A 16,279-nucleotide genomic window follows, 5' to 3' on the forward strand; every position below is an offset into this window, starting at 1 on the left:
TGTGGGTAGATATGGAGAGTTAAGACCTTTTGTTAATAATTAATTGTATTCCCTAATGGATTACTGATAGCTTATCAGCTCTGCTTGCCTATGTGGACTTTGACAGCTCCACCTTTAGTGTGGTTGAAAACAAGTGAGAACGCCATGATAGGCCCGGTGGTGGGGTGTCTGGTCCTGCCCCCTCTCTGCCGAGCAATCTCCTTGAAGGGTGCCTAGTTCTCCTGTGGACAGTATTGACAACTTGCCTGGAAAAGCCATGGGATTGCTCTCCAGCTTTGGTTTTAAGAGATTTAACACTCCATTAGGATATGTGTTTACGGGCTTCATACCCTTCAGAGCTCTGTGTGTTGGAAGCATACTTATTTCACTTTATCTCTGGGTGGGCTTCTCACTCCTTTTCCAGTGCTTCAACAAAAGGTGTGGCGGGGACTGGCCCCTTTCTCACAGCCCACTGCAGTGGGATGAGAGTCCCAAACGGATGACATAATGTCTGGAAAGCACCGAGTTTAACCAAGAGAGAAATAGGGTTATTACAAAGATGAAGGGGCTCTGAGGGAAATTCTGCAAGAGATATCATTACTTTGAAATCACTTGGAAAATAAATGAGAGGAATATCACCCTGCCCCCATACCCACTGCAGCACTGTAATTACGGGGTGAGGATAATTGAATTTTAGAAACGCCCGGGGCCCAGCTACACTCTTCAAAAGTAATATGAAGAATCTGACCCCCTCTGGCCTGGCGAAGAGCAAGCTCCTGAGTTCTTGCTACCGGCTCCAGCGACTGTCTGCTTTCCTTTTCTCCTTAGCGCCGCCATCACGGGGGTCCTCCCCGCAAGACCTGCAGAGAGTGGGATGTTGCCCCCTTCCCTGCGCAAATTTAGAGACAGCTAGTGCCGTCTGGGGACCAGTCACTGTGCTAGGATCAGCTCGAGTACTAAGCCGCGACAGTTGGGCTAGAAAGCCCTTCCTCCGAGCCCCCCAAGGCCCAGGTGGCAGCGGGTTCAGCTCATAGAGGAAATTGTCCTGATGTCCTGCAGAACAGAACAATGGGAGTGGAAAGGGTGGTTTATTTTCTCAAGAAATCGACTACATTTCCCAGGCCTGATATACATCTCAATGGGACTGTCCCACAGAGGAAGAGTCTCCTCGGAACTTCTTCACCCCCAAATTAACATTTCTCCCAACTTTGGGTTAGTAGGGTTCTTTAGGCGTCTGATCATTGTGGGAAGCGGTGCGGCATCAAGTCTGAAAAGTGAATATAATATGGTTTATTTGGAACTCGACCAGGAAATTTTGGTTCTTTTGGCTGGTGGAAATATGCAGAAGAAACACCATCTAAGGGCGCGTCCCCTTCTGAAGTACCTTTCCGAACTGGGGAGGGAAGAGAAAAGCTTTTTGGGTGAACCAGAAGTGGTAAAATCACATTCAAATAGAGTGGGTAGGACTCTCCTCCAGGGGGTGTGGGGTGGAGGCTAGGCGGTGAGAGCTTCCCGCGCCCAGGGAGCAGGTCTTCACGGGAGGTTTCCGGAGGCAGGAGGAGCCTGCGGGTCCTCGGGAGTCACGGCCGGATGAAGGATGGGAGCGGGCGCCGACCACAGCCAGGGCCGCGAGGCGCAGGAGGGCGCAGGCTGGCCAGGTCCCCAGCCTGCCGGCCCCACGTGGCAGCCCCGGGGCGAGCGGGGCGGGCCGGGGGCGGGTCCGGCCGCTGACGCGCCGGGTATATAGCCGGGCATGCGCGCGGTGCCGGGGCCCGGACGCAGTGAGGGGGGTCGGCGCGCGTGTCTACGCGGACGCACCGGCTAAGCTGCTTCTGCCGCCGCCGGCCGCCTGGGACCTTGCGGTGAGGCTGCGCGGGGCCGAGGCCGCCTCCGAGCGCCAGGTGAGGGCGGGGACGCCAAGGGCCGCGGGATGGGCAGCGGCGGAGGAGCCCCGCACCCCAGGCTGGGGCAGTGGGTGGGGGCGGGGACAGCCCTGCGCCGAGGACCGGGCGCCGCTCCCGGGCACCGGCACACGCCCGGACGGCTGGGTGGAGGCTGCACCTGGCCGTGGTGCCGCGCTGGCGAGGGGAGAGGTCAAGGCGCGGCCTGTCCGCCTGGAGGGTGCGGGATGCTAGAGCCGCAGAAGGGTGCCCAGAGCGTGGGTCGCCGCGCCGAAGGCTGAGCCAGGCTCCCGGATTCCCCGCGCGGACACGGACGCAGAACGCAGACAGTAGGTGGCCAATCCGAGGGGCGGCTCTTGGGGCGGCTCTATGGGGCTCTGGGGTCTGGACTTTGCTTTTCAGGAGCTGCGTCCCCGGGCCCCCGCCGGTCCATCTCCCCTCTGAAGGTACATGTACCCAATCTTCCGGCTGAGCGAATCTCCAACCTGGCTTGCCCACGAGGATGGCTTTCTGGCTATTTTTGGTCCTTAATGACCAAGTTAGGTGGTCGGGTTCAGGCTGCCCCCTCTTGGTGGGTGAGGGCAGTGGGACAAAGTCGCCATCCGAGCAGTTTCATCATCTGATCCTGAGGTCCAGTTGAGCCGGGAAAATTTCGTCAGCTCTGGACTAGGGGTTCACTTTTGAGGATCTGGTGCTTGCCAGGGCCTGGGTTCCAGAGACAGGCTTCTCTAAACAGTTAAAGGGCTCGGCTGTACAGGAGGACTCCGGACACAATTGGGGAGTGGCTAAGTGCTCTCTTGTGGCCCGAATGGAAGCGTGGGGTTAGGAGCAGCTTTGACCTGACCCTTCTTCCTGGAGCAAGCCTGGTTTGGGTTTACGTCTTTAGTGGCTCTCCCCTAGGAGCCCCAGGCCATTGGGACGGCTGTGCTCCTGCTGAGGAGTGGCCTGGGAGTTAGCCCTGGCCTCTGTCCCTGCTCTGCTCTTAACTGGCCCTGTGACCTTGGGAGGGTCAGGTCAGTACCACGGTCAGACTAGATCTCCTTAACCACAGCATATACAATTCCGTAATCCTTCCCTCTTTTATTTTATTTTATTTTATTTTATTTTATTTTATTTTATTTTATTTTATTGTATTTTATTTTATTTGAGACGGAGTCTCACTCTGTTGCCCACGCAAGAGTGCAGTGGCGCGATCTCGGCTCACTGCAACCTCCGCCTCCCGGGTTCAAGCGACTCTCCTGCCTCAGCCTCCCGAGTAGCTGGGACTACAGGCGCGTGCCACCATGCCCGGCTAATTTTTTGTATTTTTAGTAGAGACGGGGTTTCACCGTGTTAGCCAGGATGGTCTCGATCTCCTGACCTCGTGATCCGCCCACCTCAGCCTTCCAGAGTGCTGGGATTACAGGCGTGAGCCACCCTGCCCGGCCTATCCTTACCTCTTAAAACCTAAGTCCTAAATATGGACAAGAACTTGTCCATATACATCCTTGGATGCATATCCCCCGGGACGCAGCTCCTGAAAAGCGAAGTCCAGACCCCAGAGCCCCATGGAGCCACCCCAAGGATATACATCCTTGGTAAAGCAAGAGAAGGGATGTCCAGAATCATAACTTAGCAGCTGGAATTAAAAGCCACATGTTCCTTTTCCTGGTGGAGGCTCAGAGAGGTGAGTTTTCCATTACCTGTGTGGTAGCCAGGAGATAGGCTAGTGGTCCTCTTGCTGGGGTTGGTTTGCAGGTAAGACTAGAGGGCACCAGACAGTGGAAGGGGGTCCTCTGGATACTGTCTCTTCCCAAAGGGCCAGGCCAAAAGCAGGTTCTTGCTTAATTTATCATATTTTACTCATCTGGCCTCTGGGGCCTTGAGGGAGGGCAGTGCTGAGCGGGAGATTCGATCCAGGTGTTGACTGACAGCTGGCCAGCCAGTGCAGAGGCTAGAGGAACTCACTGACCTGAGGACTTGGGGGCTGGAGCAGCTGCATCATTGGCCTTGTATTTTAGGCCAGAGTAAGAATTTTGGGCTCTGGGACTCTTAGCCTGTGGATGTACATTGCCTGGTCTGTGCTGGGCTCTGCAGTGGCCACCATGGCGGGTGCACGCAGAAGGCCTGGCCCCCACCCTTCCAGTGCAAACTCTTGGGGAGAAACAGCATCCACGGGTGAAGAACAAGATAGCAACACAAGAGAAGCCTCCATACTGTGCACAGTTCAGTTCAGAGAGCGGGCATCCTTGAAAGACGGGAATAATTCTGGCCTTTTGAGATAGGTGGGTCTCTGTTCAATTCCTGGCCCCGTCACTCTCCAGCAGTGAGAAATTTCTTAACTTCTGTTCTCACCAGCTTGCAGGATGTCGTGATTTTGCCTGGAACATAGTAGAGGGCTGCTTGTCATCATTCTCATCGTCATAATTTTTGTGGGGTGGAGTGGGTTATTTAGGGGTCCCAGAGGCTGATAGTTGGGTTGGGTTGTAGGAATGGTGTGAGCCCAGGCGTAGGGTTGATTCATCTCTTCCTTGGCAACATGGATGCAATTTCCCTGCCCTTCTGGGAAGGCCGCTTTTCTGTGGCCTGCCAGGGATTGTCCCACAGATCAATTGGGCAATTTTAGGGAAAACAAACTTTTTTCTACCTTTGGTTCTGGGAGCTGCTCTGATTTCTTCAGAGAAGAAATGCTCCTTCTCTGGGCTGATGGTAGCCAGGAAGGAGTAACAATGCCTGTGTGTGCCTGGGTGGTGGGTGTGTGCTTGTGTGTGTGTGTGCACATCTGTGCACATGTGCGTGTGCGTGTGTGTAGGGTATATATCACTCACAGGACTGGTTCTGTTTTTAAACCCTGCTTACCTTCTTCCTCCTTCCTTACCTGCTCACACCCTGCACTATTCCAAGAGGAAACTCAATCCCTGTCCAACATTTGCAGAATCATGGGGTTTACACAGTAGTGTTGTGAATAGATTGTGCGTGCCTGGGAACCAGGACCTCCCTCTCCCCACTATGTCAGGATAATAGCCTGCCTGCACCTGACCTGGCCAAGGTAATGCTGCACCATGTTGCTGAGCCCCACAACCATGGAATGTTGAGCAGGGGACTTTGGTGATCTTGGAGTCCAGCACCTTTATTTTACAGTGAAAGAAACTGGATCCAGGGAGGTGAATTGGTATTCCCGAGTCACATGGTTGCCAGTGGCCAAGAGACTTGATGGAGAAGACCAAAGAAGGGTTCTATTTTTGATCCTAAATGTGATTATGAAATTGCTGACACCTCCAGTCTTTGCTTGGAAACTAGAAGAGGAAGGGGCCATTTGTCCCTGTGCTTATTGAGGGAGGGGGTGTTAGTTTCTTCTGGAGGAGTCTCTTACTCTTTCCAGACTCCCTGGAGACATGGGAGGCTGGGGAGTGAGCAGGGAAGGGACCTGCTGCTCAGCCCAGCCGGGACTCACCGGGTGTCTGCAGTGGGGCTTCTCTGACCTCCAGGCTGGTGGGCTGGTGGAATGCCAGGAGATAAGGAGTCCAGAGTCCGCCCCATCGACTGTCGCCAGCCAGGGCTTCATGCCCACCTAGGGGACAGGAGGGCAGGCCCTAGAACACAGGGTCACGAAGCCCCACTATCTTGTTCCCCCCTCCCCCCACTACCGTGGGCATTAAACCTCTCAGGGGGCCCCTGGTTGGGCCTGGCAGAGGCAGAGACGCAGAGGCTGGGCCCTCTGACCTGCACAAGGAAAAGAGGCCGGGAAAGCCACAGAATTGGCCTGCCCAAGGGAGCCCAGAGTGCCCAGCCATGGGAAACCGAATTCTCCGCCTTGGCAACTGGAGATCGGACTGTTGTTAGAACTCCTAACCTCCCTCCAAGGGCAGGCCCCAGAGAATCTTGGGGCTTGGTGGAATGAGAAGGTGAATGCCCTACATTTATTACCGCCGAGTTCCTAATGGCCCTCGTAGGCAGTGCATTCAGTATTAGTAGTTAATAAAAAAAATCAGATAAAAGTTGGATATCTAAAAAAAAAATACATGTCTTTTTTTTTTTTTTTTTTTTTTTTTTTTTTTTTTTTTGAGACGGAGTCTCGCTCTGTCGCCCAGGCTGGAGTGCAGTGGTGCGATCTCGGCTCACTGCAACCTCTGCCTCCTGGGTTCAAGCAATTCTCTGCCCCAGCCTCCCAAGTAGCTGTGATCACAGGTGCCTGCCATCACACTTGGCTAATTTTTGTATTTTTAGTAGAGACGGGGTTTCACCATGTTGGCCAGGCTGGTTTTGAACTCCTGACCTCGTGATCTACCCACCTCGGCCTCCCAAAGTGCTGGGATTACAGGCATGAGCCACTGTGCCCAGCCAAATCATATCTTTTATCTTTTTTTTTTTTTTTGAGACGGAGCCTTGCTCTGTGGCCCAGGCTGGAGTGCAGTGGCACGATCTCGGCTCACTGCAAACTCTGCCTCCCGGGTTCAAGCCATTCTCCTGCCTCAGCTTCCCGAGTAGCTAGGATTATAGGCGCCCGCCACCACGCCTGGCTAATTTTTGTATTTTTAGTAGAGACGAGGTTTCACCATGTTGGCCAGGCTGGTCTCCAACTCCTGACTTTGTGATCCGCCCGCCTCAGCCTCCCAAAGTGCTGGGATTACAGGTGTGAGCCACTTGCACCCGGCCCCTTTATTTTATCTTTAAAACATGTATGTATTTTTATTCACCAAAACTTTGATTTAGGGCCAAGCCCTTTCCTTTGAGTCTTTAGATCCCTTATTTAGACTACTTAGAAATTGTTTGTATATAAAAATCATACTTAAATGTATTACCTGTAATTTCTCATTTCTTTCATTTTATTAAATTTTTTTTTCCTACTAGGCTCCGTATTCACATAGTTGAAAAATCAAGACGGTAAAAAACAGCAAAACCTTGTCTTCCCCCAGCTTTTCAATAAATGCTCCAAGGTAGCATTTTAAACATCATTCAGCACCTTGCTTTTTTCACCTAGCAACTATATTAAGATCTTTTCCATATCAGCACATAGAATGCTTTTAGCATTCTCTGTCATAGCTGTGTAGTATTGCATAGTATGGAAGTATCATCTTTTTTAACCAACACACATATCACCCTGTCTGCGCTTATGTTTGCAGAATATATCTGTGAAGTGGAATCGCTGGGTAAAAGGTTAAATCTGTTAATTAGCTTTCACTAAATAAAAAAATGAAGCGAAGACAAGAGATATTTGCAAAACAGCCATGTTCGGAATCCAGTTACTGCTTTTATGTACATACCTAGTTTAATTTCAGCTTTTTATTATTTTTCCATTTGCAACAAATCTTTCTAGATGAGTAATTCTCAAACTTTTTGATGCTAGGACCCCTTACATTGTCTTTTGTATATGTGGCTATCTGTATTGATAGTATATTAAAAATTAAAACTAAGTAAAGAAAAATTTTTTTGAGACATGGTCTCACTACGTTACCCAAGCTAGTCTTAAACTCTGGCTTCAAGCGATCCTTCTGCCTCAGCCTCAAGACTGAGAAATTTTAAAATAGTTATTTATTCATTTAAAAAGCAAAAATAAGGCGATTACACGTTAACATTAAAAAAAAAAATGTTTTGAACGGGCGCAGTGACTCACACCTATAATCCCAGCATGTTGGGAGGCCGAGCTGGGCAGATCACAAGGTCAAGAGATCCCGACCATCCTGGCCAACATGGTGAAACCTCGTCTCTACTAAAAATACAAAAAATTAGCTGGGTGTGGTGGTGCACGCCTGTAGTCCCAGCTACTCTGGAGGCTGAGGCAGGAGAATCGCTTGAACCTGGGAAGCAGAGGTTGCAGTGAGCCAAGATTACGCCACTGCACTCCAGCCTGGTGACAGAGCGAGACTCCATCTCAAAAAAAAAAAAAAAGTTTCATGAAAAATAACTATATTTTCCAAAATAAAGTAGTCAAAAGAATGGCCTTGTTAGCATATTTTTAGAAATTTCAGGATTTTAAAATAATTATTTATTGGATGATAATGAGATAACAGGTTATAATAGGTGTAACTTAAATTTGCTGTTAAGAAGTCAGTTAAAAGTTCTGAGAACAAATTGAGCTAATCTCTGAGACCACCTATATATTATATTATACCCTAAACTTCTACCTTAGAAATTTCTCAAAGACTCAAGATGACACAGGTACGTGTCACATTTCATGTAGCTTCTGAAAAGTGAGAGTGAAAAGCTTTTAATTTTTGTATATTAGAATAAAAATAGTCTTTTACTTCAGGGACCCCAGGTGTCATATAAGACAGTAATTTCAGAATTACTGTTCGAGATCACTTAGCTTAAATTTCTCAGAAGTCAGACATTTTTCTTTGCATTTATTCTTCAGGGTTTTTTGTTTTTGTTTTCTCGTTTTTTTTTTTTTTTCCAAGGCAGAGTGTCTCTCTGTCACCCAGGCGGGAGTGCAGTAGCGCAATCTCACCGCAACCTATACCTCCCAGGTTCAAGTGATTCTTCTGCCTCAGCCTCTCAAGTAGCTGGGATGCAGACACGCGCCACCACGCCCAGCTAATTTTTTGTATTTTTAGTGGACATGGGGTTTCGCCATGGTGGCCAGGCTGGTCTCGAACTCGAGCTCAAGTGATCCACCGGTCTTGGCCTCCCGAAGTGCTGGGACTGAAGTGCTGGGACTAAAGGCGTGAGCCACCGTGCCCAGCCCTCAGTTGTTATTTAAATAAATCATAATCATTTAAATAAATAGAACCTGCATAAAGAGGTTTGGGAATAGGCACAGCTGTTGGCATGGGAACCCTCAATGGTGACAGCAGGTGGTGGGGTTGGGGGGAGGTTGGCCACCTGGCGAGGGGCCTGTTGGCTGCAGGGAGGGACTGGAGACCTGGGGTCCTTGAGCAGTCCAGTGGCGCTCAGCTAAGAGAGCTGCTGAGTACCATCTCCATTCCCGAGATGCTTGTGAAATGTGTGAGGAGCTATGCATGTGTGGAAAGTCAGATGCAGGATGGCCTTCCTGAAGCTGCAGTAAGTGGAACAGAGGAGGGGTACTGGGTGAGGCCAGAGGAGGGAGTGGCAGGAGGTGACAGAGAAGGCTTCTTGGGGAGGGACTGAGCCACATCTTGAAAGCTAGGAAGCGGGAGAGAGAGCAGGGTCCTGGTAAGGAGAGCCGTGTGAATGCTGGTGGGATGGTACACGTGGCCCAGAGTGGCTGAGAGGGAGCAGCAAGTGAGGTAGCTGGAAATGTACGTTGGGTCTAGGAGTCTTGAATGGCTCGGGTGTCTAAGGTACGAGTGTTCTCTTGGAACTCAGAGCTGTTTCCATATCAGAGACTTGCCAGCAGCCCTCTGTCTTGGGGTGCAGCCTGCCAGCCTGCTCTTTTTTTTTTTTTTTTTTTTTTTGAGACAGGGTCTCACTCTGTTGCCCAGGCTAGAGTGCAGTGGGTATGATCTCAGCTCACTGAAACCTCCCCTCCTGAGCTCAAGCGATTCTCCCATCACAGCCTCCCAGGTAGCTGGGACTCCAGGTGCACACCACCACACCTAGCTAATTTTTGTGTTTTTAGTAGAGATGGGGTTCCACCATGTTGGCCAGCCTGGTCTCGAACTCCTGACCTCAAGTGATCCACCCGCCTTGGCCTCCCAGAGTGCTGGGATTACAGGCGTGAGCCACCGCGCCTGGCCAGCCTGCTCTTATCTGGAGCAACTCCATGGCCCCACGTCCATGTCCTCTGTACCAGTCCACTTCCTCCAGCCTCCTGCCACCTTCCTTAGCCCTCAGAAGCATCTAGCAGCCTCCTTTCCAGTCTGAACACAGCCCTTAGAAGTCTCTCCCAGAAACTGTAATAGATGTGATTAACTATACACAGAATTCCCCCAAACAATTGTTTGGTATTTTTGTCGACTTTATTTCCTTCTGATTATTAAAAGTAATGCATGCATATTGTAAAGTGCAAAAAAGTATTTGGGGGAAAGTCGATAATCCTGCTGCAGTCTCTCTTTACATATTGGCATATTTCCTTACAGTTGTTTTTTTTTTGGGGGGAGGGGATACAATTGGCTATCTACACCCATCTTACCTCGACATCAAAATTTCTCCCTAAGCATTTATTCTGCCTTATGGCTGTATCTTTTTTTTTTTTGAGACGGAGTCTCACTCTGTTGCCCAGGCTGGAGTGCAGTGGCACAATCTCGGCTCACTGCAACCTCCGCCTCCCAGGTTCAAGCAATTCTCCTGCCTCAGCGCCCCCTAATAATAGCTGGGATTACAGGCATGCACCACCATGCCCGGCTAATTTTTGTGTTTTTAGTAGAGGTGGGGTTTCGCCATGTTGGCCAGACTGATCTCAAACTCGACCTCAGGTGATCTACCCGCCTTGGCTTACCAAAGTGCTGGGATTACAGGCATGAGCCACTGCACCCAGCCATGGCTGTATCTTAGTTTGCTTAACCATTTCCTTTTATTTTAAACTTTTCTTTTGAACTAATTTTAGATGTACAGAAGAGTTGCAAAAATATAGCAGAATTCCTTTATATTCCTCACCCCAGAGTATAATTATATAATCAGGAGCAGGAAATCAACATTGGCATAACACTGTTAACTAAACTGCAGGCCTTATTTAAACGTCACCAATATTTTCACTAATGTCCATTTGCTGTTTCCAGGATCTGATATGGGATCCCACACTGTTTAGTTATTTCTCCTTAGTTTGCTGCAATCTGTGGCAGTCTCTCCCTCTTTTCTTGCTAGAATGTTGGAACGCAAAGTGATGTTGCATCCTTTAGAGGTATTCATCATGTCACAGTTTTTTGTTGTTGTTGTTAATTTTGAGACAGGGTCTCACTCAGTGCACAGGCTGGAGGGCAGTGGTGTGATCTCGGCTCTCTGCAGCCTCCACCTCCCAGTTTCAAGCAATTCTCCTGCCTCAGCCTCCCAAGTAGCTGGGATTACAGGCATGAGCCACCACACCTAATTTTTTTTTTTTTTTTTTTTGTATTTTCAGTAGAGACAGGGTTTCACCATGTTGTCCAGGCTAGTCTTGAACTCCTGAGCTCAAGTGATCCACCCACCTCAGCCTCCCAAAGTGTTGGGATTATAGGCGTGAGCCACTGCACTCGGCCATGTTGGAGTATTTTTTTACTGGTGACATTTATCTAGATTGGCTGGTGTCTGCTTGATTTCCACACTGAAAAAAGGTGGGTTTTCTGTTGTTGTTGTTTTACAAAAACTGAATGGGGCCAGGCACGGTGGCTCACACCTATAATCCTAGCATTTTGGGAGGCCGAGGCAGGCAAAGGCCGACGTCGGGAGTTCAAGACCAGCCTAGCCAACATGGTGAAACCCCATCTCCACTAAAAATACAAAAATTAGCCAGGCATGGTGACATGCACCTGTAATTGCAGCTACTCGGGAGGCTGAGACAGGAGAATCGCTTGAACCTGGGAGGTGGAGGCTGCAGTGAGCTGAGATGGAGCCACTGCACTCCAGCCTGGGCAACAGAGTGAGACAATGTCTGGGGAAAAAAAAAATACTGAATGGATAAACTGAAGAAGTTATCTTTCTTTCCCTTTGTAGTTTCAGGAGATACTTTGAGACTATGCAAATCCTGTTTCTCCTTGTACTTTCATCCCCTAATTTTAGCACCCATCTGTAGACCCTGCTTGCAACAATGATGACTGTGATGTTTGACTAATGATTCTCTATTTCCCTCTTGTACATTTATTTATTGGAATTCTTTGTAAGCAAGAGCTGGCCCTGCTTCCCCATTTATTTATGCATTTGGTTATTCATAATCAGATTTTGTTCTGTGGGTTAAAGTTGAATAATATTTTTTGAGGCTCAAATTGTTCTAGCTTTGACCATTTTGGGAGCTCCTTCCGGTTGTCTCCTGTGTTCTTCTGGTAAGCCCCTGCCATTTTTTTTTTTAAGTGTTTCCTTAATTTCCTTTACTACAAAATATTCCAGGCTCATCTTGTAACTTCGCTGCCCCAGCCCTAGAGTCAGGCACTTCTCCACGGAGTCCTGCTTTCCTTTATTGGAGAATGCTGTTTAGAAACCAAGGTCTGGTTGCTAGGTATGTTCATTGCTACAGCAGTTATCATTGCTTCTGGGTCCTCTCAGCAGACAAAGCTAGGAAACAGATAATTCAGCACCTATCTGTATATATGTATGCTAAAGAATATGAGTTTGTACTGATAACGCTTATTCTGATCTAACCTCAAAAAGTTCGTTTTATTTTAGTCTTTCCCTTTTCATGATGACTTCTTTCTCCAACAGTGAAAAACCCTCTCAGTCATTTTCTTAGTTGGGGTGAAGGTTATTTTCCACTGGTTTTGCTCCTATTATCGTGGCCCTGATTAACACACATTTCCACATGTGGACTATAGATTATTTGACTCAACTCGCCTTTGAGATGATAACATCTGGAGGCAGAGGCAAGTGTTTCTGATTTTACATACTCTGTGATTCTGCACCCAGAGCTGCACTAGGATGTACTGAATGCTTGATCAGCATCTTACCTGCTGAATACCCCATTTGGATCTGTGCCCGCTCGGCTATGCTCTCCCTCTCTGCAGTTCACAACTCTCCTGCCAATTGTATTTGTCTTAAACAATACTCCTTTCCCGTTCCTAGCTTTAGAATTCTTTGTGAGATGAGAACTGTAGCCTAATGTTAGAAGCTCTAAAGCCTGCCCGGTCCAAGATCAGAAACCACTACCACTCATTTCCATACCACCTGCTCTTGGTAGGCATGTGTCAGTAGAATGGATTAATTGGAAGTAAACTGGAATAGGACAGAGTGCAGAGACCCATACTGCCTGGCCCTGCCACCTGTGACCAGAACTTGTCACTTCACTGCTCTGGGGAGTGGAGGTCTATCAGAGCAGGCAAGTGTGTTAGTATGACACACTTAGTGGCTTGAAACAACACCCGTTTATCATTTCTCAATTCTGTAGGCCAGAAGGCTGAGCATTGCATGACTGGCTTCATTGCTGGGGGTCCTAGAAGACTAAACTTAGGGTGTCAGTTGGGTTTTCAGGGCCTCTGCCAGGCTCAGATGGTTGTGGAAAATTCAGCTCCTTGTGGCTATAGGACTGAGGTCCCCTGCCCCCTCACCCCTATTTTCCATTGCTGGCTACCAGGCAGGGGCCACTCTCAGTTCCTAGAGGCCCCCATATTTCCTTTCCATGTGGTCTCCTCCATCCCCTGTGACACAGCCTGTCTCCCACATTGAGTCCTGCTCATGCTTCAGCTCTTTTTGCCAAGAGGAGCCATCCTTGTAAGGGCTCACCAGCTTTGTTCTGGCCCACTCAACGTAATTTCCCTTCTCAGGTCAACTGATGTGGTCAGCAAATACCTGCAGGCTCACTTTTGCCACATAATGTGCCATGATCCCAGGAGTGACGTCTCATATTCATGGGTCCCGCCCATACACAGCAATGAGGGTCACTGGAGTCACTCTTAGTGTTCTGCCAGCTGCAGCTGAACATGATCAGGTCTTAATTCTGGCACCAAAGTATTTACCTGTGGATCTGTGTCCCATGGTTCCCCTGACAAGATACCAGAAACTTGGTGGCTTAAAAACGACAGAAATGTATTCTTATAGGTCTGGAGGCCAGCAGTGTGAAATGCAGGTGTCACCAGGACCATACTCCTTCTGACAGCTCTAGGGGAGAATGCTTCCTTCTTTTCCCAGCTTTTGGTGGCTCCTGGCATTCCTTGGCTTCTGGCTGCACCACTCCCATCTCTGCCTCTGTCTTCACGTGGCCTTCCCCTGTTGGTGTGTGTCTGCATGTCCAAATCTCCCTCTCCTTTCTCTTATAAAGACATAGGTCATTGGATTTAGGGCCCATCGTAAATCCAGGACAATTTCATCTTGACATCCGTAACTGATTTTATCTGCAAAGTCTCTATTTCCAAATAAAGTCACTTTCTGAGATTTCAGGTGGACAGTTATTTGCGGGGATAGTATTCACCCCACTAGATTCAGGGTTGTGGGAAGTGTTGCTTACTAAACTCTGGTTCACGGAGCTGCCAAAGAAAAGAGATTTATTTTTAAACCTAGGAGAGAAGGCAAGCTTGGCTGCTGTGGAGGCTGGGGCCCATCCTCAGACCATCTGCTCCCCTCATGGTGACACAGATCTGAAAACCAGGTGGGTTGAAGGCTGGCCTAGAGGCCCTGTGTCCTTAAGATCCAGACACTTTGCAGTACAGTCAGCTCGCAGTCTCTGTCTTTGTGGATTCAATCAACCACGGATGGAAAATATTTGAGAAAAGAAACAAAACTGGCCGGGCGTAATGGCTTACCCCTGTAATCCCAGCACTTTGGGAGGCCGAGGCGGGTGGATCACGAGGTCAAGAGATCGAGACCATCCCGGCCAACATGGTGAAACCCCGTCTGTACTAAAAATACAAAAATTAGCTGGGGGTGGTGGGGTGTGCCTGTAATCCCAGCTACTCAGGAGGCCGAGGCAGGAGAATCCCTTGAACCCGGGAGGCAGAGGTTGCAGTGAGCCAAGGTTGTGCCACTGCACTCCAGCCTGGCGACAGAGTGAGACTCCATCTCAAAAAAAAAAAAAAAAAAAAGAAAAGAAAAGAAACAACACTAACAATATAATGGTTAAAAAGAATACAAATAAAAAAACACAGTATAAAAATTATTACATACCATTTACATTGTATTCAATACTATAAGTAACCTAGAGATGGTTTAAAGTCTATAGGGAGGAAGTGCGTAGGTTATATGCAAATACTATGCTATTTTATATCAGGGACTTGAGCAATTGTAGATTTTGGTATCCTGGAGGCGGAGAGGGTGTCTTGGAACCAATCCCCTGCTGATGCCAAGGGATGACTGTACCAGCAACTTGCCTCTGTACAGAGAGCTCTGGTTGAGTGTGACACTGTCCTGTAGGATGGGCAGGGGACAGATTGTGGTACCCCTGTGGCAAAGAGGGAAAACTGAGGTCAGAGAGCTTAAGTGATTGCAGAGTGTCGTACTTAGAAGGGACAGCAGTGTTTGGTCCAGCAGTCTTGAAGTGTCAGGCCAGTTCCTGGGGCTAGAAAGAGGCTGATCCATCAGCACCTCTCTAGCCCGAGGTGGCCTGGACCTCACCCAGAAAGTTGTGATTCAGGACCGAGATGAGGCCTCAGTGTTGCCACTGGGTTAGGGACCCACGCACAGATGCAGTCGAAGACTGGAATCTGTTTAATACCTCCAAGTGAAGATCCTCAAAAAGGGAGCAAAAAGCACCATCCCTCCCTGCAGCACCCTACCCCCTGCCCAACTTATCAGTAAGCCTTTCCATTCCTGTTTTTTTTTTTTAACCCCCAGAGATGGGGTCTCACTCTGTCGCCCAGGCTGGAGTGCAGTGGCTCCATAATGGCCCACTACTGATTTGACCTCCCGGGCTCAAGTGATCCTTCCATTTCAGCCTTCCAAGTAGCTGGGACTACAGGCATGTACCACCATGCCAAGCTAATTATTGTATTTTTAGTAGAGACAGGGTTTTGCCATGTTGCGCACGCTAGTCTCAAACTCCTGGGCTCACACAATCCACCCCCTTGGCCTCCCAAAGTGCTGGAATTACGGGAGTGAGCCACCATGCCCGGCCTCTGAATTTTTTTTTTTATACAGAGTCTTGCTCTGTCGCCCAGGCTAGAGTGCAGTGGCGCAATCTTGGCTCACCACAACTTCCGTCTCCTGGGTTCAAGCGATTCTCCTGCCTCAGCCTCCGAAGTAGCTGGGACTACAGGCGAGTGCCACCATGCCCGGCTAATTTTTGTATTTTTAGTAGAGACGGGGTTTCACCATGCTGGCCAGGCTGGTTTCGAACTCCTAACCTCGTGATCTGCCCGCCTCGGCCTCCCAACTTGCTGGGATTACAGGCATGAGCCACCGCGCCCAGCCCTACTCTTTTTTTTTCTCCCCGAGACAGAGTCTCGCTCCGTCACCCAGACTGGAGTGCGGTGGGGCTAGGCTCACGGCAAGCTCCGCCTCCCGGGTTCACGCCATTCTCCTGCCTCAGCCTCCCAAGTAGCTGGGAATATAGGCGCCCGCCACCAGGCCTGGCTAATGTTTTGTATTTTTAGTAGAGATGGGGTTTCACCGAGTTAGACAGGATGGTCTCGATCTCCTGACCTCATGATCCGCCCGCCTCGGCCTCCCAAAGTTCTGGGATTACAGGCGTGAGCCATAGCGCCCGGCCCCTAAATTTTTTTAAATGCAAGAAAACACGGCTGTATATGCCTATACTTTCAGGGCAGGAGAGGATTTTCCAAGCATGTTACTAAAAGCAGAAACTTTAAAAAGGAAAAGTATGACATATTTGACTTTACCTCTTTAAAAATTGTGTCAATAATACCAGTTAACAAAATTAAAAGGCAAACAACTAATTAGGAAGAATATTTGTAACATGTGACAAAAGGTTAATATCTTGCCATATA

General features: G+C 48.9%; 1 protein-coding gene across 12 annotated transcripts in view, besides 4 other annotated features; it reads left to right on the plus strand.

Annotated features, from left to right (window-relative positions):
• Window positions 349-849: an enhancer, noted in NCBI's record as "H3K4me1 hESC enhancer chr8:22223390-22223890 (GRCh37/hg19 assembly coordinates)". NCBI's record gives its function as "activates a minimal SCP1, AML or CMV promoter by ChIP-STARR-seq in primed H9 embryonic stem cells {active_cell/tissue: H9 hESC(primed)}" and the evidence as "EXISTENCE:reporter gene assay evidence [ECO:0000049][PMID:30033119]".
• Window positions 1,395-2,064: a silencer, noted in NCBI's record as "silent region_18984". NCBI's record gives its function as "represses an Ori minimal core promoter by ATAC-STARR-seq in GM12878 lymphoblastoid cells {active_cell/tissue: GM12878}" and the evidence as "EXISTENCE:reporter gene assay evidence [ECO:0000049][PMID:35858748]".
• SLC39A14 (solute carrier family 39 member 14) overlaps window positions 1,750-16,279 on the plus strand; it is a 66,852-nt gene continuing 52,322 nt past the window's right edge. For 8 of the 12 annotated variants that reach the window (NM_001135154.3, NM_001351657.2, NM_001351655.2 and 5 more), the window contains exon 1: window positions 1,750-1,880. The gene's annotated coding sequence lies outside the window, so the exon portion shown is untranslated. Of the gene's footprint in view, window positions 1,881-2,009; window positions 2,210-13,898; window positions 13,987-16,279 lie in introns of those variants that run through there. The other 4 variants (NM_001351656.2, XM_006716324.4, XM_047421655.1 and 1 more) reach the window with 3 other exon arrangements.
• Window positions 2,385-2,634: an enhancer, noted in NCBI's record as "active region_27078". NCBI's record gives its function as "activates an Ori minimal core promoter by ATAC-STARR-seq in GM12878 lymphoblastoid cells {active_cell/tissue: GM12878}" and the evidence as "EXISTENCE:reporter gene assay evidence [ECO:0000049][PMID:35858748]".
• Window positions 2,990-3,168: a silencer, noted in NCBI's record as "fragment chr8:22226031-22226209 (GRCh37/hg19 assembly coordinates)". NCBI's record gives its function as "represses an EF-1alpha promoter that drives an FKBP-Casp9 reporter gene in an ReSE screen in K562 erythroleukemia cells {active_cell/tissue: K562}" and the evidence as "EXISTENCE:reporter gene assay evidence [ECO:0000049][PMID:32094911]".

This window comes from Homo sapiens, chromosome 8 (assembly GCF_000001405.40).
Source record: "Homo sapiens chromosome 8, GRCh38.p14 Primary Assembly".
In the NCBI taxonomy this organism is placed as follows: Eukaryota; Metazoa; Chordata; class Mammalia; order Primates; family Hominidae; genus Homo; species Homo sapiens.